This window comes from Homo sapiens, chromosome 3 (assembly GCF_000001405.40).
Source record: "Homo sapiens chromosome 3, GRCh38.p14 Primary Assembly".
Classification (NCBI taxonomy): Eukaryota; Metazoa; Chordata; class Mammalia; order Primates; family Hominidae; genus Homo; species Homo sapiens.
This window is the reverse complement of record NC_000003.12, coordinates 161259814-161287810: the sequence shown is the minus strand read 5'-3', so window position 1 is coordinate 161287810 and position 27997 is coordinate 161259814. Positions and strand designations below refer to the sequence as shown.

Here is a 27997-nt window from a genome sequence, read left to right as displayed (position 1 = left end):
ACACATGAGCCACCACACCCGGCCTATTTCTTTTCTTTATGATGCATGTGACCTGTTGCATGTGGTAAGAGGAATGTAAAGCAAACTATCTTTACATTAATTTTAAGAAAAACACTTAGTTTCAGGAGTATATGTGCAGGTTTGTAATATATGTAAATTGCATGTTGCAGGAGTTTGGTGTATAGATTATTTCATCACCTAGTAATAAACATGGTATCCAAGGTAGTTTTTTGATCTTCACCTGCTTCCCACCCTCCACCCTCAAGTAGGTCCCAGTGCCTATTGTTCCCTTCTTTGTGTCCATATGTACCAATGTTTAGCTCCCACTTATAAGTGAGAACACACAGCATTTGGTTTTTGGTTCCTAGGTTAGTTTTCTTAGAATAACTTAAAATAACTCCAGCTCCAACCATGTTGCTGTAAAGGACATGATCTTATTAATTTTTATGGCTGCATAGTACTCCATATGTATATGTACCACATTTTCTTTATCCAGTCTACTGTTGATGGGCATCTAGGTTGATTCCATGTCTTTGCCATTGTGAATAGTGCTGCAATGAACATATGCATGCATGTGTCTTTATGGTAGAATGATTTATATTCCTTTGGGTATATACCCAATAATGGGATTGTTGGGTTGAATGGTAGTTCTGTTTTAAGTTCTTTGAGAAATCACCAAACTGCTTTCCATGGGGGCTGAACTAATTTACATTCCCACCAGTAGTGCATAAGCGTTCCCTTTTTCCTACAACCTCACCAGCATCTGTTATTTTTTGACCTTTTAGTAATAGTCATTCTGACTGGTGGAAAATGGTATCTATCTCATTGTGGTTTTGATTTGCATTTCTCTAGTGATTAGTGATGTTGGACATTTTTTCATATGCTTGTTGGCCATTTGTTATGCCTTCTTTTGAAAAGCGTTCATGCCCTTTGCCCACTGTTTAAGGGAGTTGCTTGGTTTTTGCTTGTTAATTTGTTTAAGCTCCTTTTAGATCCTGAATATTAGACCTTTGTCAGATTCATAGTTTGCAAATATTTTCCCCCATTCTGTGGATTATCTGTTTACTCTGTTGATTGTTTCTTTTGCTGTGCAGAAGGTCTTTAGTATAACTAGGTCCCATTTGCCAATTTTTGTTTTTGTTGCAATTGCTTTTGGCACCTTCATCATGAAATCTTTGCCAGGGCCTATGTCTGGAATGGTATTTCCTAGGTTTTCTACGAGAGTTTTTATAGTTTTAGGTTTTACATATAAGTCTTTAATCCATCTTGAGTTAATTTTTCTATATGGTGAAAGGTAGGGGTCCAGTTTCAATCTTCTGCATATGGCGAGCAAGCTATCCCAGCATGATTTATTAAACAGGGAGTCCTTTCCCTATTGCTTGTTTTCATTGACTTTGTCAAAGATCAGATGGTTGCAGGTGTGCAGCTTTATTTCTGGGCACTCTATTTGGTTCCATTGGTCTATGTGTCTGTTTTTGTACAGTACCATGCTGTTTTGGTCACTGTAGACTCGTAACATAGTTTGAAGTAGGATAATGTGATGCTTCCAGCTTTGTTCTTTTTGTTTAGAATTGCTTTGGCTATTCAGGCTCTTTTTTGTTTCTATATGAATTTTAAATAAGAAAAAACTTTTTCTAATTCTGTAAAGAATGTCATTGGTAGTTTGATAGGAATCACATTGAATCTGTAAATCACTTCGGGCAATATGTCCATTTTAACAATATTGATTTTTCCTATTCATGAGCATGAAACATTTTTCCATTTGTTTGTGTCATCTCTGATTTCTTTCAGCAGTGTTTTGTAATTCTCATTGTACAGATCTTTCACTCCCTGGTTAGCTGTATTCCTGGGTATTTCATTCTTCTTGTGGCTATTGTGAATGAGATTGCATTCTTGATTTGGTTCTTAGCTTAGATGTTGTTGGTATCTAGAAGTGCTACTGATTTTTGGCAGGGCACAGTGGCTCACGCCTGTAATCCAAGCACCTTGGGAGGCTGACACAGGCAGATCGCCTGAGCTCAGGAGTTCGAGACCAGCCTAGGCAACATAGCAAAACCCCCATCTCTACCAAAAGATACAGAAATTAGCTGGACGTGGTGATGCATGCCTGTAGTCCCAGCTACTTGGGAGGCTGAGTTGGGAGTATCACATGAGCCTGGGAGGCAAAGGTTGCCGTGAGCTGAGATCGCACCACTACACTCCAGCCTGGTGACAGAGTGAGACCCTGACTCAAAAAAACAAAAAAAGAAGTACAGAAGTGCTACTGAATTTTGTACATTGTATATCAGGCTTTTAAATGTTCCAAATCCCAATTTGGTTAACTGCAGAAACAATTCATCACAACTGAGGAACAATTCATCACAACTGAGACTTATACAAAATTCCATATATTCCCTTATTTAAGGAATCAGCAAAAGTACCAGAGTTTTTAATCTGTTAGTGGTTATACGGGGAGTGCCCAGTGCCCAACCCTATGCATGCATGCCCTCCATTGACACACACCCACTTGGCCTCAGCGTTCCCCATATGGTCTTACTGCCCCTCACTTCACCCACATGCTCATCATTACCTCAAGTCACGACATGTTCCACCCTTCTCCACCACTGTTTGGCTTGTAGCTTTGCCTTGACTAAGTTCCAGCTCTGGTCTCTGTTATTAGTTAGCACAAGTTTGAAAAGAAGCATTGGCCCACATCTTGGATGAGTAATAAGTTTACACTAAAGTCAGAGGGACAAATGGAAAACCCAGCAAATAACTTAATTAAACTTAGCAGCAGGCATCAAATAAAACTGTACTGTTGTCGAATAAATTTAGCTGGCTTAGGAAAATTCTCCAGGTTTCTTTACTTAGAATAACAATTTCTAGCCCTAACAAACCCAACATACCTTTTTTGCAAACATTTCATACTGTGGGAAATGTTGGTTTTGATCATTTTTAAAAGTGCATTCAATAGTGAAGGCTAACAGAGTATCCATCACAAGTGAACAGCTAGAAGGTTCTGGAGCATGTGTTCCACGGATGAAAAGCCTGATACTTGCTTGGGTCTCTCAATGCACCAGCAGTACAGAAATGTAACACCACCTCCTTTACCATCCTGAAACAAAATTCACAGATATGTCCTATATAAACGTAATTTCCAGAAAGGCTGACAACAACAACATAATGTGTATTTTAATATGCAAATGTTGGTCACGTATAAACCAAAAAACAAGTAGTCATATGCTTGCATCTATATGCAGAATAACTGTGAATGTGACAGCTTACAAACACAGGCTACACAGTTGTGCTGTATCAGCTACTCAAATACAACTAGTGGTGTCTGTTCACGATATGCCTTTCTGAAAGAAGAAACAATTTTTGGCAAAGCTCCAAACAAAACGAAATACACCCAGCTACTGGGGAGGCTGAGGCAGGAGGATCACTTGAGGTCAGGAGTATGAGGCCACAGTGCACTATGATTACACCTGTGAATAACTATTGCAATTCAGCCTAGACACCATAACACAACCATGTCTTTTATTATTATTATTATTATTATTATTATTATTATTATTTCAATAGTTTGGGGGGAACAGTTGGTGTTTGGTTACATGGATAAGCTCTTTAGTGGTGGTTTCTGAGATTTTGGTGCACCCATCACCCAACTAATGTACACTGTACCCAGTGTGTAGTCTTTCATCTTGCCCCCGCCTTCCCCTGAGTCCCCAAAGTCCACTGTATCATTCTTATGCCTTTGTGTCCTCATAGCTTAGCTCCCACTTATAAGTGAGAACATAACGATGTTTGTTATTCCTGAGTTACTTCACTTAGAATAATGGTCTCCAATTCTATCTAGAATGCAAATGACTATTTTTTTTTTTTTTAGCTGAGTGGTATTGCATGGTATACATACATACCATATTTTCTTTATTCACTTGATTGATGGGCATTTGAGCGGGTTCCATATTTTTGCAGTTGTGAATTATGCTACTATAAACATGTATGTTCAAGTGTCTTTTTCATATAATCGCTTCTTTTCCTCTGGGTAGATACCCAGTGGTGGGATGGCTGATCTACTTTTAGTTCTTTTTTTTTTTTTTTTTTTTTTTTTTTTTTTGGTAGAGTCTCGCTGTGTCACCCAGACTGGAGTACAGTGCTGTGATCTTGGCTCACTGCAACCTCCACCTCCCGGGTTCAAGTGATTCTCCTGCCTCAGCCTCCTGAGTAGCTAGGATTACAGGTGCACACCACCATGCCCAGCTAATTTTTGTATTTTTAGTACAGATGGAGTTTCACCATGTTGGCCAGGCTGGTCTCAAACTCATAACCTCAAGTGATCTGGCTGTCTTGGCCTTCCAAAGTGCCGAGATTACAGGTGTGAGCCACCATGCCCAGCCAGTCTCCATACTGTTTTCCATAGTGGTTGTACTAGTTTATGTTGCCACCAGCAGTATAAAAGTGTTCCCCTTTCACCACATCCATGCCAACATCTATTATTTTTTAATTTTTTAATTATGGCCATTCTTTCAGGAGTAAGGTGGTATCTCATTGTGGTTTTGATTTGCATTTCCCTGATAATTAGTGATGTTGAGCATTTTGTACATGTTTGTTGGCCATTGTATATCTTCTTTTGAGAATTGTCTATTCATGTCCTTAGCCTACTTTTTGATGGGATTGTTTGCTTTTTTTCTTGCTGATTTGTTTGAGTTCCTTGTAGATTCTGGATATTAGTCCTTTGTCAGATGCATAGTTTGCAAAGATTTTCCCCCACTCTGTAGGTTGTCTGTTTACTATGCTGATTATTTCTTTTGCTGTGCAGAAGGTTTTTAGTTTAATTAAGTCACATCAATTTATCTTTGTTTTTGTTGCATTTGCTTTTGGGTTCTTGGTCATTAACTCTTTGCCTAAGCCCATGTCTAGAAGGGTTTTTCTGACATTATCTTCTAGAATTTTTATGGTTTCAGGTCTTAGATTTGAGTCTTTGATGCATCCTGAGTTGAATTTTGTATAAGGTGAGATATGAGGATCCAATTTCATTCCTCTACACGTAGCTTGCCAATTATCCCAACACTATTTGTTGAATAGCGTGTTGTGTTGGTTAATATTAAGTGTCAACTTGATTGGATTGAAGGATGCAAAGTTGTTTCTGGGTGTGTCTGTGAGGGTGTTGCTAGAGGAGATTAACATTTGAGTCAGTGGACTGGGAGAGGCAGACTCACCCTTAATCTGGATGGGCACCATCCCCCCGGCTGCCTGCACAGCAAGATAAAGCAGGCAGAAGAAGGTGGAATGAACAGACTTGCTGAGTCTTCCAATTTTCACCTTTCTCCCTTGCTGGATGCTTCCTGCCCTTGTACATCAGACTCCAAGTTCTTCAGCTTTTGGACTTTTGGACTTACACCAGTGGTTTGCCAGGGGCTCTTCGGCCTTCAGCCACAGACTGAAGGCTGCACTGTCAGCTTCCTTACTTTTGAGGCTTTGGGACTCGGAGTGGCTTCCTAGCTTCTCAACTCGTAGACAGCCTATAGTGGGACTTCACCTTGTGATGATGTGAGTCAACTCTCCTTAATAAACTCTCTTTCATATGTACATATATACTGTTAGTTCTGTCCCTCTAGAGAACCCTGACTAATACACGGTGTCCTTCCCCCAATTTATGTTTTTGTTTGCTTTGTTGAAGATCAGTTGGCCGTAAGTATTTGGCTTTATTTATGGATTCTCTAGTCTGTTTAATTGGTCTATGTGCCTATTTTTATGTCAGTACTTATGCTGTTTTGGTGACTATAGCCTTATAAGTATAGTTTGAAGTTGGATAATGTGATGCCTCCAGATTTGTTCTTTTTGCTTAGTCTTCCTTTGGCTATGCAGGTCTTTTTTGGTCCATATGAACTTTAAGATTGTGTTTTCTAGTTTTGTGAAGAATGATGATGGTATTTTCATGGAAATTGCATTGAATTTGTAAATTGCTTTTGGCAGTATGGTCATTTTCATAATATTGACTCTACCCATTCACGAGCATGGGATGTGTTTCCACTTGTTTGTGTAATCTACGATTTCTTTCAGCAGTGTTTTGCAGTTTACCTTATACAGATCTTTCACTTCCTTGGTTAGGTATATGCCTAGGTTTTTTTTTTCTTTGTTTGTTTGTTTGTTTTTGCAGCTATTACAAAAGGGGTTGAGTTCTTGATTTGTTTCTCAGCTTGGTCGCTATTGGTGTATAGCAGTGCTACTGATTTATGTACATTGATTTTGTATCCCGAAACTTTACTGAATTCGTCTATCAGTTCCAGAAGCTTTTTGGATGAGTCCTTTGGGTTTTCTATGTATACGATCTTATCATCTATGAACAGCGACAGTTAGATTTCCTCTTTACTGATTTGGATGCCCTTTATTTCTTCCTTTGGTCTGATTTCTCTGGCTAGGACTTCCAGTACTATGTTAAATAGAAGCAGTGAAAGTGAGCATCCTTGTCTTGTTCTAATTCTCAGGGGGAATGCACTCAACTCTTCCCCATTCAGTATAATGTTGGCTGTGGGTTTGTCATAGGTGGTTTTTATTACTTTAAGGTGTGCCCTTTCTATGCCGATTTTGCTAAGGTTTTTAATCATAAAGGGATGCTGGATTTTGTCAAATGCTTTTTCTGCATCTATTGAAATGATCATGTAATTTTTGTTTTTAATTCTGTTTATGTGGTGTATCACATTCATTGGCTTGCATATGTTAAACCATCCCTGCATGCCTTGTATGAAATCCACTTGATCATGGTAGATTATCTTTATGCTGTTGGATTTGGTTAGCTAGTATTTTGTCGAGATTTTTTGCATCTATGTTCATCAGGAATATTGGTCTGTAGTTTTCTTTTTTGGTTATGTCCTTTCATCGTTTTGCTATTAGGGTGATACTGGCTTCCTAGTTTGATTTGGGGAAGATTCCCTCTTTATCTTTTGGAATAGTGTCAACAAGATTGGTACTGATTCTTCTTTGAATGTCTGATAGAATTCAGCTATGAATCTGCTAATCCTGGACTTTTTTTCTTTTTGGTGTTTTTTTAATTGCCATTTCAATCTTGCTGCAAAAAAATTTTTTACTAAAAAATTTTAGGCAAATTTTCGCTAAAAAACTTGTTGTCAGCCAGGCTCACACCTGTAATCCCAGCACTATGGGACGTCAAGGCAGGTGGATCACGAGGTCAGAAGTTCGAGACCAGCCTGGCCAACATAGTGAAACTCCATATCTACTAAAAATACAAAAAATTCGCCGGGCGTGGTGGCATGTGACTGTAATCCCAGCTACTCAGGAGGCTGAGGCAGAAGAATCACTTCAACCCAAGAGGCAGAGGTTGCAGTGAACTGAGATCACACCATTGCACTCCAGTCTGGGCGACAGAGCAAGACTCCATCTTGAAAAAAAAATTAAATTGTTGGCATGGCCAGGTGCAGTGGCTCATGCCCGTAATCCCAGCACTTTGGAAGGCCAAGGCAGGCAAATCACCTGAGGTCAGGAGTTTGAGACCAGCCTGGCCAACATGGTGAAACCCCATCTCTACTAAAAATACAAAAATTAGCAGGGCATGGTGGTATGCACCTGCAATCCCAGCTACTTGGAAGGCTGAGGCATGAGAATCATTTGAACTTGGGATGCGGACATTGCAGTGAGCCAGGCTGTGCCACTTCACTCCAGCCTGGATGACACAGCAAGACCGTGTCTCAAAAAATTAAAAAAAAAAAAACTTTGCGAATTTTTTTTCAACTCTAAACAGAGTTTTAGAGTTTCTATTTCTTCCTGGTTTAATCTAGAAGGGTTGTATTTTTCTAGGAGTTTATCAATCTCCTCTAGGTTTCCTAGTTTGTGTGCATAAAGGAGTTCATAGTAGCCTTGTATGATCTTTTGTATTTCTGTGGTATCAGTTGTAATAGCTTCCATTTTGTTTCTAATTGAGTTTATTTGGATCTTCTCTTTTCTTGGTTAATCTTGTAATGGTCTATCAATTTTGTTTATCTTTTCAAAGAACTAGCTTTTTGTTTCATTTACCTTTTGTATTTGTTTTTTGTTTCAATTTCATTTAGTTTTGCTCTGATCTTTGTTATTTCTTCTCTTCTTCTGGGTTTGGGTTTGATTTATTCTTGTTTCTCTAGTTCCTTGAGGTGTGACCTTGGATTGCCCATTTGCGCTCTTTCAGACTTTTTGATGTAGGCATTTAATGCTATGAATTTTCCTCTTATCACTGCTTTTGCTGTATCCCCAAGGTTTTAATAGGTTGTATCACTATTATCGTTTAATTCAAAGAAACTTCTTAATTTCCATCTTGATTTCATTGTTGACCCAATGATCATTCAGGAGCAAATTATTTAATTTCCATATATTTGCATGGTTTTGCAGGTTCCTTTCAGAGTTGATTTTCAATTTTATTCCACTGTGGTCTGAGAAAGTACTTCATATAATTTCAATTTCCTTAAATTTATTGAGACTTTTCTTGTGGCCTATCATATGGTCTATCTTGGAGAATGTTCCATGTGCTTATAAACAGAATGTATATTCTGCAGTTGCTGGGTAGAATATTCTGTAAATATCTGTTAAGTCCATTGGTTCTAGAGTATAGTTTAAGTCTGTTGTTTCTTTGTTGACCTTCTGTCTTGATTACCTGTCTAGTACTGTCAGTAGAGTATTAAAGTTCCCCACTATTATTGAGTTGCCATCTATCTCATTTCTTAGGTCTAGTAGTAATTGTTTTATAAATTTGGGAGCTCCAGTGTTAGGTGCATATATATTTAGGATTGTCATATATTCCTATTGGACTAGACTCTTATCATTACATAATGACCCTCTTTGTCTTTTTGAGATATTGTCACTTTAAAATCTGTTTTGTCTGATATAAGAATAGCTACTCCTGTTCACTTTTGGTGTTCATTTGCATGGAATGTCTATTCCCACCTCTTTACCTTAAGTTTATGTGAGTCCTTGTGTGTTAGGAGAGTGTCTTGAACATAGCAGATACTTAATTGGTGAATTCTTATCCATTCTGCCATTCTATATCTTTTAAATGGAGCATTTGGCCAGGTGCGGTGGCTGACGCCTGTAATCCCAGCACTTTGGGAGGCCGAGGTGGGCAGATCACCTGACATCAGGAGTTTGAGACCAGCCTAACATGGAGAAACCCCGTCTCTTCTAAAAATACAAAATTAGCCAGGCGTGGTGGTACATGCCTGTAATCCCAGCTACTTGGGAGGCAGAGGCAGGAGAATCACGTGAGCCAGGGAGGTGGAGGTTGCAGTGAGCTGAGATCGTGCCATTGCACTCCAGCCTGGGCAACAAGAGCGAAACTCTGTCTCAAAAAAAAGTGGAGCATTTAGGCAATTTCCATCCAGCATTAGTCTTGAGATGAGGTACTATTCTATTCATGGTGCTAGCGGTTGCCCGAATACCTTTTTTTTTGTAATAGTGTTATTGTTTTATAGGTCATGTGACAATTATCCTCTAAGAACATTCTATTTTGGTGTATTTTGAGGATTTGTTTCAAGATGTAGAGATGTAGAGCTCCTTTTAACAGTTCTTGTAGTGCCGGCTTGGTAGTGGCAAATTCTCTCAGCATTTTTTTGCCTGAAAAGGACTGTATCTTTCCTTCATTTATGAGGCTTAGTTTTGCTGGATACAAAATTCTTGGCTGATAATTGTTTTGTTTAAGGAGGCTAAAGATAGGAACACAATCCCTTCTAGCTTGGAGGGTTCCTGCTGAGAAATCTGCTGTTAATCTGATAGGTTTTCCTTTATAGGTTACCTGATGCTTTTGCCTCACAGCTCTTATGACTGTTTCCTTCGTTTTTACTTTAGATAATCCGATGACTATGTGCCTAGGTAATGATCTTTTTGTGATGAACTTCCCAAGTGTTCTTTCGGCTTCTTGTATTTGGATGTCCAGATCTCTGCCAGGGTCCATCTCACAGACCCCAGCTGCACAACAGATGAATAACGTACTCAGACACTGATATTCAGTGAAAGAGTGGGCTTAGGGGGTGAGGCCACTGACCAAAAGAGTTGTAGCAGCCGAGACCCTGATTAACTGGCCCTGCTGGAATTTATTCAGCATATATTAAATGACAAAGGCTTTGAGTCAACATCACTAGAGGTTAACTAACCTGGTCCCCTCCCCCCAAGAGAGCCATCCTGCCCGCAAATGATCAAAAGTTAATTTTAGGACCACATGAGTAAACAAGTTATTTAGGTAAACTCCCTTACATTCCTTTGTACCTACTTTAAGCTATTTACTTAAGGTAAGAGGATTAGGCTGCCTTCAGCCAGATCTATTACTGAAGTTATGCAAACCCCTTCAGGTTCCATAGAAGGTTTGTGTCTATTTCTTATAACTATCCTGAAAATTTTTCCCACCAGCCTGCCTTAACTCCCACAGATCTCTAGCAAGGTCAGGGAAATTTTCCTCAATTATTCCTTCAAATATGTTTTCCAAACTTTTAGATTTCTCTTCTTCCTCAGGAACACCAATTATTCTTAGGTTTGGTCATTTAACATAATCCCAGACTTCTTGGAGGCTTTGTTCATTTTTTTAAACTCTTTTTTCTTTGTCAGATTGGGTTAATTCAAAATCCTTGTGTCAAGCTCTGAAGTTCTTTCTTCAACTTGTTCAATTCTATTGTTGGACTTTCCAATGTATTTTGCATTTCTCTAAGTGTGTCTTTCATTTCCAGAAGCTGTGATTGTTTTTGACTTGTGATGTCTATTTCTCTGGAGATTTTCCCATCCATATCCTGTAAAATTTTTTAAATTTCTTTAAACTCCTATTCACCTTTCTCTGGTACCTCCTTGAGTAGCTTACTAATTGACTTTCTGAATTCTTTTTCTGGCAATTGAAAGATTTCTTCTTGGTTTGGATCCATTGCTGGTGAGCTAGTGTGATCTTTTGGGGTATTAAAGAACCTTGTTTTGTCATATTACCAGAATTGTTTTGTTGGTTCCTTCTCATTTGGGTAAACTATATCAGAGAAATATCTGGGACCCAAGGGCTGCTCTTCAGATCCTTTTGTCCCGTGGAGTGCTCCCTTAATGTGGTGCTCTCCCCCTTTCCCTAAGGATGGGGGTTCCTGAGAGCTGGACTGCAGTGATTGTTATTTCTCTTCTGGGTCTATCCACCCAGCAGAGCTACCAGGCTCCAGGCTGGTACTGGAAAGTATCTGCAAAGAGTCCTGTGATGTCATCTGTCTTCAGGTCTCTCAGCAGTGGATACCAGCACCTGCTCTGGTGGAGGTAGCCGGGGAATAAGGTGGACTCTGTGTGGGGCCTTGGTTGTAGTTTTGTTTAGTGTGCGACTTTTCATGAATGCTAGTTGTGCTGGCAGTAAAGTTGTCACATGGACAGACTTAGGACCTCTGGTTAGCCAAGATGTCACAGGCAGTGGAGTTAGCTGTTTTTTCCTTCTTGGGGGAAGGGTTGTTATTTTATGAGTTGCTGTGTTGGTTGGCCTCCAGCCGGGAGGTGGCACTTTCAAAGCAGCATCAGCTGTGGTAGCATAGGGAGGATACAAGCTTGCCCTAGGGTCACCTGGATAAGTATTCAGGTTTCTCAGGTGGTGGGCAGGGCCATAGAGCTCCCATGAGATTATGTCTTTTGTCTTCAGCTACCAGGGCAGGTGGAGAAAGACCATCAGGTGGGGCAAGTTTAGGCGTGTCTGAGCTCAGACTCTCCTTGGGTGGGGCTTGCTGCACCTGCTGTGGGAGATATGGGTGTGTTTCTCATGCCAAAGGGATTATGGCTGTCTCTGCTGCATCAGACAAGTCTCCAAGTCAGTGAGGGAAAGCCAGCTGTGACAGGCTTCACCCAGCTCCCAGGTAGCCAGAAAGGCCAGTCTCACTCCCAGTGTGCTCCCCCAACACGGACTTTATAACCAGGCAGCTGGTGAGCAGGGCTTGGAACTGGCCCCAAGCTACAAGCCTCTCCTCTGAGAAAGCAAGCAGGGCTTTCAGGCTTCACCCCTCCTGCTGTGGCTTCTGTGCCTGTGTCTGCACTTCCCGTTTGCCCCCAACCCTGGATTCTGCCCTGGAAAATTCACACTTGGTCGAAATTACTACAAAGTTCAGCTGGAAGTTTCCTTCTTCCTGTGGTCTTTCCGCAATTCCACTGGCAGCCCTCCCCAGAGACCCCTGTGAAATAAAGTCAAAATAGGTTCCCTGGGCTTCCTTGGATGCCAGAAGTGCCTACAGGCCTTTCCTGCTGCCTCTTCTACTTTTATATTTCTCTCCACTCTCTAAATTCATTTCAGCTCTAGGTAAGGTTAAATCCCTCTCCCGTGATCCAGATTTTCAAGCTCCTCGGTGAGGATGTGTGTTCAGAGGTGGACTTTCACCCTCTCACACTTTGGGCACTCACAGTTTTTCGGCTGTTTCTTGGAGTTTGCAGTGGCAAGCCGCTTATTTCAAAGGGTCTGTGAATTCTTTCTGTTTTCCTGGTATGTTCTTGCAGCAGTTCTTGGAGCAAAAGTTCACGATGTGGTCTCCACATGCTGTTCTGTCAGTCCAAGTGGGAGCTACAAGTTAGTCCTGCCTATTCACCATTTTCCCCTGCAGGCCTCAAGACCATGTCTTTTTAAAAAATTATTTTTGATACAATCTTTCCTTGATTTATGTTGTCATTCCTAAGTACTCCTTGATTTATATTGTCATTCCTATAATGTATTCCTAAGACATTCAAGTGTCTACTATAAAATCCTAATAACTTTGTATTGACATGTTAAACACAATTAGTAGTAGGCTTAATTAGATACATATTTTTAGCTACATGATTGTCAGGACAAATGAAAGTCCCAGGGGTTGAAGGACAATTCTTGCTTCTATAGCATTGTTAGATGCGCCGAATGTTACCTAGCATGTATCCATGGCTTCTGACCAATTATTGTGACAACAAAAACACTCCCACAAATTTACAAAATGTCCCCTAGGGGGCGGTACCACTCCATTGAGAACCACTGCTGAAGGGCTTCAGAGTCTTCAATATGATAATACAAGCTGCAAAGACAGAAACAAGGATAGGATACTTTTTTTCCCCAAGTACAGGTAGTTTCTTGAAGGACTATCGCTTCACTAATCACACTTTGGGGAATGTTGGTATTGATCATTTTTAAAAGTGTATTCAATAGTAAAGGCATTCTGAGTATTGGTCACAAGTGAACAGCTGGAAGGTTCCGGAGACATGTGTCCCATGGATGGAAAGCCTGATACTTGGCTGAGTCTCTCAATGCACCAACCATACAGAAAAGATGTCATCTCTAAGAAGATAAAAGGGAAGCAGCTGATAGAGACTTTCTAGTATACTCAGATACAGACGCAGCCTGAGTCTCATTAGTGCCATTTAGAATAAATGATTTTTTTTAAGTTTCGTACTTGGAGTCCAGACTGTTGCTTTGAAGTCAGCCTTGTAGTCCTTGGACATACTCATTCATAAAACTTATTTTTCAAGGGCCATAAGTGTCTTGTAGGCCCATTTCCCAAAATGAAAGGGAACTTGTGGATCAGACCAGTGAATGAGGAAGAGAATTTTGACTATTTTTTTCATTATCAATTCAAAATATAAAATTTAAACAACGAAATGTTTATTTTCACTATTTTCCCAAGCCTGTAGATTTTATAAGTATTGAAAGACCTATTTAAATTGGAAAGTCTACATTTTAGATTTTACTTCTCCCAAACCTGGCTTTAACTCATAACCAAATGTTTACCAGAAAAATAAATAAAAGCCACGTTATTCGGGGCCTAGTGAGGCTGAAAATGTCCTGATCTCTACCTCGAGTAGAAACAGACTCAGGTAAACAATTACAGAGTAATTGGTGAGTACTGTTAGCCATAGGATCACAGAGACAAGACACTTCATCTAACTTGGAGCCTAAAAAGAGTTTCTTGAAGACTAATTAGGAGGGGACCAGAATTATCTCCTTAATTATAATGTCAATTTTAACAGATTTTAAGTATGAGAATAATGCTTCTGATTTTCAGAAGTACTTATCAGGCATTGGTGCCACCTGGTGGCCATTTTAATTGAACCTAAAATTATTGTTTAAAAGAATTAGAAGTTTTTCCCCCTTCACTGAGGGGAAAAAAATTAGGAAAACACATTTTTATTATTTTGCAACATATTTATCTTACAGTTTCTGAAATTTGGGGATCAATATTTCAATTCACTCTTACTAGATTCTCCAGTCAACCTGACTTGGGTCACTTACTAAAAGGCCATATCTCATCTTTATCCAGATTTGTGAATAGGTTAACAGTTACCACAGTATTTGTAAAATAAGTACTTGATAGTGGTAATGCAAAGAAAATTCCGATGAGATGAGCAATAAAAGATCATCAGTGTTCGATCATATTTTTTTTGTTTTTTCTGAGATGGAGTCTTGCTCTGTTGCCCAGGCTGGAGTGCAGTGGCGTGATTTTGGCTCACTGCAACCTCCGCCTACTGGGTTCAAGGGATTCTCCTGCCTCAGCCTCCCAAGTAGCTGGGACTACAGGCACGTGCCACCATGCCCGTCTAATTTTTTGTATTTTTAGTAGAGACGAGGTTTCTCCATGTTGGCCAGGATGGTCTCAATCTCCTGACTTCATGATCTGCCCACCTCAACCTCCCAAAGTGTTGGGATTACAGGCATGAGCCAATGCGCCCGACCCTCGTTCATATTTTTAAAGGCACTTCATTCAACAGTTTTTAAAGCAAAGGCCTTTACTTATTTAAAAAAATCTAAATTATGGCATCCGTGGTCCTTCCTAAACAAGACTCAGGGAAGCACAAACCTTAAAGAAAAAGAATTTATGGGCCGGGCATGGTGGCTCACGCCTGTAATCCCACTTTGGGAGGCCGAGGCAGGAGGATGGCTTGAGCCCAAGAGTTCAAGACTAGCCTGGGCAACATGGTGGGACCCCGTCTCCACAAAAAATAAAAATAAAATTCACCAGGCATGCTGGCACACACCTGTTATCCCAGCTACTCAAAAGGCTGAGGCAGGAGGATCACTGAGCCCAGGAGGTCAAGGCTACAGTGACCTGTGATGGTGCCACTACACTCCAGCCTAGGTGACAATGAGAACCTGCCTCAAAAAAAGAAAAAAAAAGGAAGAAATTTATGGCTATAACTACATCAAAGTTAAATATTTGCTTAGCAAATGACATCGTACACAAACTTAACAAACAATATATTTTCCATGTCTAAAACCAACAAAGGCTATTATATAAGAAATTTCTTCAAATCAACATGAAAGGAAAATCAAAGAGTATGAAGAAATACTGACCAGGATGGAAACTAAATAACCATTGAGTAATATGAAAGGATACTCAGCATGTAATCAAATAAATATAATTAGAATATCACTTTATACCTATCAAAAATTAGGGGGAAAAAGCCGGATATTATCAAGTGTTAGTGAAACTATGAGGAAACAGAAACCTTCATGTACTGCTGGTAGGAAAGAAATTTGACAGTCCTTATAGTTAGCTATCTGTGAGAGACCAGAATATGCTTCCCCTAAATAAAAGATTGTTGAGCCAAAGATTATTAAGAAGCAGCAGATGGGCCGGGCACAGTGGCTCAAGCCTGTAATTCCAGCACTTTGGGAGGCCGAGGCAGGTGGATCACTTTAGGTCAGGAGTTTGAGACCAGCCTGGCCAACATGGTGAAACCCCATCTCTACTAAATACACAAAAATTAGCCGGGTGTGGTGGCGGGCGCCTGTAATTCCAGCTACTTGGGAGGCTGAGGCATGAGAATCACTTGAACCCGGGAAGCAGAAGTTGCAGTGAGCCGAGATGGTGCCACTGCACTCCAGCCTGGGTGACAGATGAGATTCTGGCTCCAGAAAAAAAAAAAAGAAGAAGGAGCAGATGCAGGAGAGCTCTCTGCCCTCCCTCCACCTGCCTGAAAGCAGAACGTAGATTTATAAGAAAAAAGGTATCCTGCCACCCCTTCTTTACCACAGACAACAGAGGTTAACCACTGAAGACAGCTTTAGACCCTCATCAGCCTTGAAATGATACCAGAGGAAATTTATTTTCACAAGCTTTACTAACCTTTATCTGCCATTTGTTTGCCTTCCCCACAAGTTGCTGCTTGTAGAGACTCCAAGTCCTTTTCCTTTGTGCTGTCACTTCTCTAAAAATTTACTCTTCTTTGTTGAAAATAAAATAAAAGCTAGAATTCAAAGCTACTTCTTTGAGAACTAATCATTGATATCTCCCTTGTACATATGAAATACACGTTAATAAACTTGTTTTTCTCTTGTTAATCTGTCTTTTGTAACGGGGATCTTTTCCGATTACAAACGTATGGGAGTTATTTTCCCCCTACATATGCATCCTACAACCCAACAGTCACATTCCTGGATGTACTTTCTATTTCTGTGTAACAAATTACTCCCCGATTTGGTGGCTTAAAAATAAATAATAAAACAACACTTATTATCTCAAAGTTTCCGTGGGTCAAAAATTCAAACATGACTTTCCTGAATGCCCTGAATCACAGTCTTTTGAAAGACTGCAATCAAGGACCTGGAGCTATAGCCATTTTAAGGATCAGTGTGGTTGTTGGTAGGCTCAGAAGATTCATTTCCAGGCTCACTCACAGAGTGTTGCAGGCCTTAGGGCCTCACTGGCTGTTGGCCAGGGACATCAGTTCCTTGTCACATGGACCTCTTCATAGGGCAGTTTATAACATGGCAGCTCACTTCCTCCAGAGCAAGAGCTCCAAAAAGAGAGAATGAGAAATGGCGAGCAAGACAGAAGTCACAGTCTCTCTGTAAACCAATTTTAGAAGTGACATCGCGTTACATTTGACATATTCTCTTTGTTAGAAAAAAATCACTAGACCTAGTCCATATTAAAAGGAAGGGCATTAAAAAAAAGCATGAATATCAGGAGGCAGAAATCAATGGGAGCCGTTTTAGAGGCTGCCTACCACACTGGGTATGTATCCCAGAAACTCTCAACAAAGCCTCAAAAGAAAAGAAAAGAAAAAGATGAGGCTCTTTTTTTTTTTCTTTTTCCTGAGACGGAGTCTCCCTCTGTTGCCCAGGCTGGAGTGCAGTGGCGCAATCTCTGCTCACTGCAAGCTCCGCCTCCCGGGTTCACGCCATTCTCCTGCCTCAGCCTTCCAAGTAGCTGGGACTACAGGCGCCCGCCACCACACCCGGCTAATTTTTTGTATTTTTAGTAGAGACTGGGTTTCACCGTGTTAGCCAGGACGGTCTCGATCTCCTGACCTCGTGATCCGCCCGCCTCGGCCTCCCAAAGTGCTGGGATTACTGGCGTGAGCCACCGCACCCGGCCAAGATGAAGCTCTTTATCTCAGCATTGTGCAAAATAATTGCAGGCAACTTAGATGCCCAACCGTGGGAAAATGGATAGCACAACAGTATTTCTTTAAATTTAAACCATAAATAACAGTGTGAATATATATATATATATATATATATATATATATATATATATATATATATATATATATATCAATGTATCTACATAGAAGTATGGGAAGTAGACATCCATGGCATGAGTGACAATGGGAGAAAGGAATGAGCATAATGACTTACAAGGACCAAAATCAGTGTGCAATGAACTGAAAATAATCAATTCAATTCTATGGATCTAAAGGCCTTAAAAACAAAGCCCCAAAACCAGGAGTGAAAATAATGTATCCCTCCACTGCTATGTTCCAGCCCCTGAGTTCTCCTTCCTAGAGACAGCCACAGTTACTGACTATAAAAGATATATGCACATTATGAAGTCTTTGTACAGCTTATTTACCTGTTGTTTTTCAGTCCACCTACCCTTCTATACTGTGAACATCTAGGGCTGGGAGGTATCAAACTACATTTCCAGGCTCTCTTGCTTCTCTTGTTAGGCACTGAAAGGAACTGAGAAGGCTGAAAAAAAAAAGAGAAAGGCTCTTGACTCCAAATGTATGGTAGTTGGTGGCAGATACTCTTGCTGCTATGTGAATGAAGTGAATCCAGATGACCAGCTAGGGCAGAGGCAGCACCCTTTGGCTGAGTGACACCTCTTCAGCAGATCCAAGCTTGACTCTAACAGTGCCTCCAATGGTGCAGCAGCCAGCCCAGGGGCATCTCCAATTTCTGATCTCTGGATATCACCCCTTCATCTTCCATTTTATTGCTCCAGTCCCATTTGTCTTTCTTTTTGCACTTCCAGCCCTTTTGTGCCAGGGCACCTGAAAAATACTGCTTTACTATTAACCTCAGAATAATTGGACCCCACAATTTTAAACAATGAAATTCCTGTTTTACAGATGAGGAAACTGAGTTAAAAGAAGGCACTTGCCTGAGGGTCACAGTAAGAGCTGGGATTTAAACCCAGGTCATCTGGTTCCTGGGCCTATGCACTTAGTCATATTCACTATGCTTTCTTTCACACACGTATGAGTTGAGCAAAACTACACTTCCACATGGTGCCATATTAAAAGAAACAAATGCATGGTAAAGATAACTAAATAATGTCTGTGGGCCTTTCAAGTAAATATTCATTCCTTAGAAAAAGGAAAATGTGGACAAAATAGTTATAAAATAAAGTGACATAACCAATTTCGCTTCCTTCTTGATAAATTTATTCATATGCTGGGGTAAAATTAAATAAGTTTCCATAGATCTGCTGCTAAACTTTCCAAAGTTTAGTTAGTGCGGCGTGCCAGAATACGTGAAGATATTATCAGACCTATTCTAACTGCCCAATGGGTTCACCTCAACCCGCTGCCTAGACAGCCAATTTATCAAGACAGGGGAATTGCAGTGGAGAAAGAGTAATTCACACAGAGCAGCTGTGCAGGAGACCAGAGTTTTATTATTACTCAAATCAGTCTCCCCATATGGGATCAGAGTTTTTAAAGATAATTTGGCGGGTAGGGTCTTGGGAATTGGGGAGTGCTGATTGGTCAGATTGGAGATGGAATCATAGGGAGTCGAAGTCAGTTTTTCTTGCTGTCTTCTGTTCCTGGGTGAGATGGCAGAACTGGTTGAGCCAGATTACCGGTCTGGATGGTCTCAGCTGACCCAGTAAGTACAGAGTCTGAAAAATATCTCAAGGACTGATCTTAGGTTTTACAGTAGTGATGTTCTCCCCAGGAGCAATCTGGGGAGGTTCAGACTCTTGGAGCCAGGGGTTGCATGACCCCTGAACTGTGATTTCTAATCTTGTAACTAATTTGTTAGTCCTACAAAGGCAGACTGGCCCCCAGGTGAGAAAGGGGTCTTTTTGGGAAACAAAATTTTTATCAATTTTGTTTCAGAGTCAAACCATGAACTGAATTCCTTCCCAAGGTTAGTTCAGCCTATGCCCAGGAATGAACAAGGACAGCTTAAAGGTTGGAAGCAAGATGGAATCGGTTATATCTGATTTCTTTCATTATCATAATTTCCTCAGTTATAATTTTGCAAAGGTGGTTTCACTATTTCCCATGTTAGATTGTCTCTTATCATAAGGTATTTTGAAATACCAAAAGAAGTACTAAGACAAGCCATATCACAACCTTTAAAATTATCTTTTAAAAAAGAAAAAGTATTTCTCTTATTCTTGCTTACACTGTACATTGTCAAATCACAGAACCATGGGGAAAAGCATAGGACATTGATGTTACTATCACTGAAATAGGTTGAAGTCCAAAGCTAGAAACTGTCAGAATATTTTATTTCCCAAGTTGCTAAGTCTCCATCCAACTTTTATGGGCTTCAGCTTATTCCCACATATCTGACAGCAAACAAACATGTTTCTGTGAACATTCACAGTGCTAAACACTCCTAAAGAAAATAAATTGCTTTTCATTTTCTAAGACAGAAGTCATTCTGGATTGCCAAAATTGAAAATTGCCAGTCCTCTCTTACGTGCCACCTCCCTAACAATAACCTCACATAAAAGACGATCTGCTTTTCTCTTTTTCTTTATCTAATATCATCTCCTTCCCTTTTGCTAACATTAACAATAACAACTAAAAAAAACAAATGGGTCCTTTCATGCAACTCTTCTAAATTAGATTAGATGGGACTGAATAAACATACACACACTCTTTCTGTCACATTAACTTTTCTCTAAAGAACACCTCAGAGATCAGTGATGGATAGATTGCTCAATAAACTGTCAATATTCACTCGTTTCTTTAAATAAATCATGTAACAAAGGAAGAATTATCTCTTTTCCTCTAACATTAGCTTATATTAGCTAGTATATATATATTATTCACCTTGTAAACATTATATAAGCACAGTATTGTAATACTAGCTAATATTAGAGGAAAAAATATATAATACATTTTTAAGATATATTTATATATATTAGCTAATATATAATCCTCTTATATTAGCATTATATAATATGGCAATACTTTTAACTCTTAACTTTATTCTGAAATAATTATAGATGCACAGAAAAAAAATTTAATGTACAACTGATCCTTCAACAGCATGGGGGTTAGGGATGCCCGCCACCTACACCATTGAAAATCCACGTATCATCCCCCAAAATTTAACTACTAACAGCCTACTGTGGACTGGAAGTCTTCACAATAACATAGTCAATTAACACATATTTTGTATGTTATATATATTATATACTGTATTCTTACAATAAAGTAAGCTAGAGAAAAGAAAATGTTATTAAGAAAATCAAGAGGAGAAAATACATTTACAGTACTGTGTTGTATTTATCAATACTGTAAGTTTACATCATCTGTTTACAAGGTGAATCATCTGTCTGAAATAGTGGACACAGCTGCAAACCTCAATCTATAGTACATATTAAGCAACTCAACTTTTTCTTGTCATGATTTTTCTCTGCTTCTTGGGAGCACTTCCAGCATTACTAGTGGCATTTCATAGGGGTCCCATGGTGTTATTTAAAGTTTACAGTATTGCACTGAACACAATAAAAAACATGCAAGAACCAAGAGAGATCACTTTTTAATGTGATAAGCAATTTACCAGAGAAATGAGCTGCTCATGCCGAGATGATTAGGGTCACATGGCATTTTAAGTGGATACTTCCAACATGAGCTCACTACAATAGCAACAGGAAGTGGCCACAAAATTATTACAATAGTACTGTTTTATTACAGTTAATTTTATGAAGTTATGACTAATAAATCAATTTTAGATCTGTTTACATTTCTCGATGGTGAATGGCGCCATGTATGTGTTTGTGTGCCTAAGTTTTGTTAAATGTTAATTTTCTATAATATATTTTTGTATATTTTATGGCAGTAAATGATAAAATAGACTAGCATACATTTTATGCATTCATGCCATATCTAATTTTTCTTAATTTTTTGATATTTCTAGGCTACATGGTTTGTCTGTTTTTTCAAATTGTTGCAAATCTTCAAAATATTTTCTAATATATTTATTGAAAAAAAATCCACCTACAAGTGAATCCTCACAGTTCAAATGCGTGTTGTTCAAGGGTCAACTGTAGTCTTCACCCAGCCTCCCCCAATGGTAACATCTCACATAACATAGTACAGGATCAAAACTAGGAAACTGACACTGCCACAAGCCAATATCTGAAATAAGAGGCGGCCCAGCCTGAAGTAAGACTAAGAACACTTGGAGTTATGTCTTCTTAGCCTCCCCAATCCCTCCTTGTATATTAGTCCGTTTTCACACTGCTATAAAGAAATCTGAGACTGGGTAATTTATGAAGAAAAGAAGTTTAATTGACTCATAGTTTCACAGGCTTAACAGGAAGCATGACTGGAAGGCCTCAGGAAATTTACAATCATGGCAGAAGACGAAGGGAAAGCAAGCACCTTCTTTACATGGTGGCAGAATGGGGTGGGGGAGGAGCCAAACACTTATAAAACCGTCAGATCTCATGAGAACTCACTTACTATCACAAGAACAGCATAGGGGAAACCATTCCCCCATGATCCAATCACCTCCCTCCATGTCCCTTCCCCAACATCAGGAATTACAATTCAACATGAGATTTGGGTGGGGACACAGACCCAAACCATATCACTCCTCCACCTCAAGCCACCTTCCAGAGTACTATTAAAACCAGTAAAACCTGTAATGTGTAGAAATAATGTATGGGGATTAACTAACCCACTCAAGACAACACTAGCAGAAAAAGTCAAGCTACTTTAAAAGAATCGATAGGGGTACATCTACTATCATCTGAACTTTAACCCTAGTAGGTGTTTGGGGAAAGAGGGTTGCCCTACTTCTATAATCAGAGCAAGCATTACCCATCAGAAGTTGCACAGTGAAATGAATTTTAAAGATGTAGAGAGTATCAGTCAGCTATTGCCAATAATGCTGCATAAGAAACCACCCCCAAAACTCAGTGGCTTAAAATAATCATTTATTCTCATACTTATGGGTTTGAGTTGTTTGGGGTAGGTAACACTGCTTCAAAAGTTCCATCCTGAGTCCAGTTTGGGGAGGCAGTGACTACCCAGAGATGTTTTTCCAGTGATGATGGTAGAAGGACAAGAACTCAAGTACAAATAAGCATGTTTGTTCCCAGACAAAGATGAAAATACTCTCAAGAATAATATTTTAAACCATAACTATTTATTTATTCCTGACTATGAGTATCAGGCCATTGCCTATAAAGAAAGAAAAGAGGACAAACATGACTAGGGAGGGCAAAGAGTAAGGGGTAAGTGGAACAACCCCAAACGAACTTTTGCTCCACCACAAATTTACCTAGAGTCAAAGTCTATCTATTATCACAGAAGGCAAAATGCCAAAATTGGAACTCTACCATCAGAACACAGATTTTTTTAAAGACTCTCTTTGAGACAAAGAATGCCACATTCCAGACTATTCAGTATCATCATCCCAGGAATCTAGTAACATTCCATGGGGACTTCTACAGCACTCTCTTAGTATAGAACACTCTTGAATCCACATGTACACTGATTTATCTTGTCCTTTGTTGAGTAGTCAGCCCATTAGCATTATTCTGGTCCAAATCCATAAACACAGGAAAACTACCAGACATATTTTCTAGTTCTTGAATATCTCCCAATAGTTTTTCTTCTCTGTATAGGTCATTTGTAGTTGTCTGTCCACAGGATTATTTATAAATAACATATGTGACATTATACACAATAAAATTCTCTGGAGGAAGAAAATAATTTACTGTGTGTTAAAACTGAACAGTCTGTGCTAATACTACAATATCAGACTTCTGTGGTTGACTAATTAGCACTGAGAGGTGAAGCCAGCTGGACTTCCTGGGTCCAGTGGGGACTTGGAGAACTTTTCTGTCTTACAAGAGGATTGTAAAACGCACCAATCAGCGCTCTGTAGCTAGGATTGTAAAACGCACCAGTCAGTGCTCTGTAGCTAGCAAGAGGTTTGTAAAATGCACCAATCAACGCTCTGTAAAATGGACCAATCAGCACTCTGGAAAATGGACCAATCAGCAAGATTCTAAAAGTAACCAATCGCAAGGAGGATTGAGAAAAGGGCATTCTGATAGGACAGAAACAGGACATAGGAGGGGACAAATATGGGAATAAAAGCTGGCCATCTCAGCCAGCAGCCAGAACCCACTCAGGTCCTCTTCCAGGCTGTAGAAGGTTTATTCTTTTGCTCTTCACAATAAATCTTGCTCACTCTTTGGGTCTGTGCCATCTTTAAGAGCCGTAACACTCACTGTGAAGGTCCATGGCTCCATTCTTGAAGTCAGCGAGACCATGAACCCACCAGAAGGAAACAACTCCAGACACAGCACTACTCATAAAATTTAACAATGTATAGGATTAGATGCACATTTGGCTTCTACAAACAAAATAAAGTCTTGACCAATATGGACAACTCTCTCTATAAGTTCTATTTACCACCTCTCCAAAGCCTTAAAAATCTGCTTGACTTCTTGCTTCATGAGTGGACTCTCAAAGAGTTATTTAAAGCAAAGCAATACCCACCCAAAAAGACCACTCATTTTTCAAAATTGTAGCTCAAATCAGATTGTACTACTAACTACATACTTGAGGACCTATGCATTGTGCTATATTTGTGCTGCCCTAAGGAAATATATAGCCTAGTTGGAGAGAAAGACATACATATAAAAATGTTAATGATAATAACTCAGGAGGTTTATAAAACTAACCACGTAGAACAGATTGTAACTGCTACAGAAGTTCATCTAACAGATCACTACAGACTGGGCTTCACCTAAAGTGAGCCTAGAAAACATTAAAAGAGAAAACATACCAAACATCAAGAACAGTAAGACTGTAAAAGAGGCAATCTCATAAACTGCATTACATGGTAGGTACGACCTTTCTAAAAAGGATTTTTCTATGTACTGAGATTCTTATATGCTCTTTGACACAGTAAATTCATCCTTACATATATATTCTCAGAAAATAATGAGAAATGAAACAAATTTTTATGGGAAAAAAGAAAAAGAAAAAACCTAGAAATGCCCAGCCACAAAAATTGTTAATTCAGTGTTCGTATGTCACAATATTAACTGTCTAATGTCACAACAATGCTCTGTATCAACCACAAATCCTCAGGGGCATACAAGTTTATTGCTCATGTGTCTGGGATGAGTTGGGGTTTGGCTAGGCAGCTCTACTGATTTTAGCTGTGCTTGCTTACATGTCTGAGGGTTAGCTGGCTTCAGGTGCGGCAACCTGGGTTTGTTCTCCCTCACTTCCTCTAACAGATTTAACTAAACATGTGCTCACAGCAATGGCAGAGGCCCGAGAGGAAACATGCAATCTCTGAGGCTCAGGCTCAGAATTTACACCTCATTCTAATCTCCAAAGGTCAGAATAAAAGTAAAAGGGCACTACAAAGTGACATCAGAGAAAACAATCTAACAATGCATCTTAAAGAACTAGAAAAGCAAGACCAAACCAAATCAAAAATTAGTAGAAGAAATAATAAAGATCAGAGCAGATATAAATGAAATTGAAATAAAATACAAAAGATCAACAAATGGTTGGTTTTTCTGAAAAGATAAACAAAATTGGTGACCTTTTAGCCAGACTAAGAAAAAAAAAAGAAGACCCAAATAAATAAAATCAGAGGTGAAAAAGGAGACATTATAACCAATACTGTAGAAATTAGAAGGATCATTAGAGACTACAATGAACAAGTATGTGCCAATAAATGAGAAAACCTAGAAGAAATGGATATATTCCTAGACACATAAAACCTAGCAAGATTGAACCATGAAGAAATCCAAAATCTGAACAGACATATAAAAAATAACAAGATCAAAGCCAAAAAGTCTCCCAGCAAAGAAAAGCCTGGGACCTGATGGCTTCACTGCTGAATTCTAGCAAACATTTAAGGAAGAACTAATACCAATCCTACTCAAACTATTCTAAAAAATAAAGCAGGAGGGAATACTTCCAAACTGATCCTATGAGGCCATTATTACTCTGATGCCAAAACCAGACACACATAAAAAGAAAAAAAAAACTATAGGCCAGCATCACTGATAAATATTGATCTAAAAATCCTCAACAAAATACTAGCAAACAAAATTCAACAACATATTAAAAAGATCATTCATCACGACCAAATGGAATTTATCCCAGGGCTGCAAAAATAGTTCAACATATGCAAATCAATCAACGTGATACCCCATGTTAACAGAATGAAGGACAAAAACAAATGATCATTTCAACTGATGCTAAAACAAGCATTTGATAAAACTCAACATCTGTTCAGGATAAAAACCCTAAAAAAAATTGAGTATAGAAAGAACATGCCTCAACATAATAAAAACCATATATGATAGACTCACCACTAGTATCATGCTGAATGGGAAAAAACTGAAAGCCTTCCTTTCCTCTAGGATCTGAAACACAAGGATGCTCACTTTCACCACTGTTATTTGTCATAGCACTGGAAGTCCTAGCTGGAGCAATCAGGCAAGAGAAAGAAATAAAGGACATCCAAATTGGAAAGAAAGAAGTCAAATTATCATTGTTTGCCAATGATATGATATTTTAATCGGAAAAACCTAAAGACCACCAAAAAACTATTAGAACTAACTAACAAATTCACTAAAGTTGTAAGATAAAAAATCAACATATAAAAATCAGTAGCATTTCTATAAGCCAACAATAATCTGAAAAGGAAATCAATAATTTCATTTACAACAGCTACAAATAAAATTAAATACCTAGGAATTAAACAAAGTGAAAGATCTCTACAATGAAAACTATAAAAAGTTGATGTACTTTGTAAATTGAAGAGGACACAAAAAAATAGAAAGATATCCCATGTTCATTAATTAAAAGAATCAATATTGTTAAAATGTCTATACTACCCAAAGCAATTTACAGATTCAATGCAATCCCTATCAAAGTATCAATGACATTCTTCACAGAAATGGAAAAAAAAATCCTAAAATTTACATGAAACCACAAAAGACCCAGAATAGCCAAAGCTATCTGAAGCAAAAAGAAGAAAATTGGAGGAATCACATTACCTGCTTCAAATTATACCACAGAGCTATAGTAACCAAAACAGCATGGTACTGGCATAAAAATAGACACAGACCAATAAAACAGAAGAGAACCCAGAAATAAATCCATATATCCGCCATGAGCTCATTTTTGACAAAGATGCCAAGCACATACATTGGGGAAAGGACAGTTTCTTTCCCCAATGCTGGGAAAACTGGATTATCAATATGCAGAAGAATGAAATTAGACCCATCCTACCACATACAAAAATTAAAAAAATGAATTGAAGACTTAAATCTAAGACCTCAAACTATGAAACTAATAAGAGAAAACATGAGAGAATCTCTCCAGGAGATTGGTCTGAGCAAAGATTTCTTGAGTAATACCTCACAAGTACAGGCAACCAAAACAAAAATGGATAAATAAGATCACATAAAATTAAAAAGCTTCTGCACAGCAAAGAAAACAACGAAGTGAAGACAAAACCCACAGAATGGGAGAATATATTTGCAAACTATCCTTCTGGAATTAATAACCAGAATACATAAGGAGCTCAAACAACTCTATAGGAAAAAATCTAATAATCCAATCAAAGTATGGGCAAAGATTTGAATAGACATTTCTCAATATACATTTCATATACAAATGGCAAACAGGTGAAAAGGTGCTCAACATCACTGATTATCAGAGAAATGCAAATCAAAACTACAATCAGATACTATCTCACTCCAGTTAAAATAGCTTTTTTTCCAAAAGACAGGCAATAACAAATGCTGGCAAGGCTGTGGAGAAAAGGGAACCCTCGTACACTGCTGTTGGGAATGTAAATTAGTACAACCACTATGGTTCCTCAAAAAGTTAAAAACAGAGCTATCATTTGATCCCATAATACCACTGCTAGGTATATACCCAAAAGAAAGGAAATCAGTATATCGAAGGGATATCTGCATTCTCACGTTTACTGCAGCACTATTTACAACAGCCAAGATTTGGAAACAACCTAAGTGTCCATCAACAGATGAATGGATAGAGAAAATGTGGCACTTATACACAATGGAGTACTACTCAGCCATAAAAAGGATGAGATCCTGTCATTTGCAACAACATGGAGGAAGCTGGAGATCACTATGTTAAGTGAACTAAGCTAGGCACAGAAAGACACACTTCACATGTTCTCACTTATTTGTGGGAGCTAAAAATTAAAACCACTGAACTCACAGAGATAAGAGAGTAGAATGATGGTTACCAAAGGCTGGGAAGGGTAGTGGGGAAGGTTTGGGGGAAGTGGGGATGGTTTTAATGGGTACAAAAAAAGAGAATAAGATGTAGTATTTGATAGCATAACAGGGTGACTATAGTCAATAATAATTGTACATTTTAAAACAACCAAGATACTTTAAGTGAAATAAGAAAAAAAAATCAAGAGTATAATTGGATTGTTTGTAACACAAAGGATAAATGCTTGATGTGATGGATATCCCACTTACCCGCATGTGATTTTTATACATTGTATGTCCATATCAAAATATCTCATATACTCCATAAATATATATACCAATTATATACCCACAGATAAGAATTAAAAATT

The 27997-nt window shown here is 38.8% G+C and overlaps 1 long non-coding RNA gene across 4 annotated transcripts, besides 1 other annotated feature; it reads right to left on the bottom strand.

Moving 5' to 3' along the window:
- Positions 1-35: 35 nt before the first annotated feature.
- Positions 36-27994, bottom strand: LOC105374187 (uncharacterized). Of its 4 annotated transcripts, none has more exons than XR_001740993.2 (3): positions 17789-27994; positions 16035-16756; positions 36-3094 (listed from the first exon to the last, which is right to left on the bottom strand). It is a non-coding gene; the product is annotated as an uncharacterized LOC105374187 (long non-coding RNA). The 4 variants fall into 4 exon arrangements; XR_001740994.2 differs by lacking the exon at positions 17789-27994 and having other exon boundaries at positions 36-2717; positions 2886-3094; positions 16035-17026; XR_007096151.1 differs by lacking the exon at positions 16035-16756.
- Positions 12969-13018: an enhancer, noted in NCBI's record as "active region_20769". NCBI's record gives its function as "activates an Ori minimal core promoter by ATAC-STARR-seq in GM12878 lymphoblastoid cells {active_cell/tissue: GM12878}" and the evidence as "EXISTENCE:reporter gene assay evidence [ECO:0000049][PMID:35858748]".
- Positions 27995-27997: the final 3 nt, after the last annotated feature.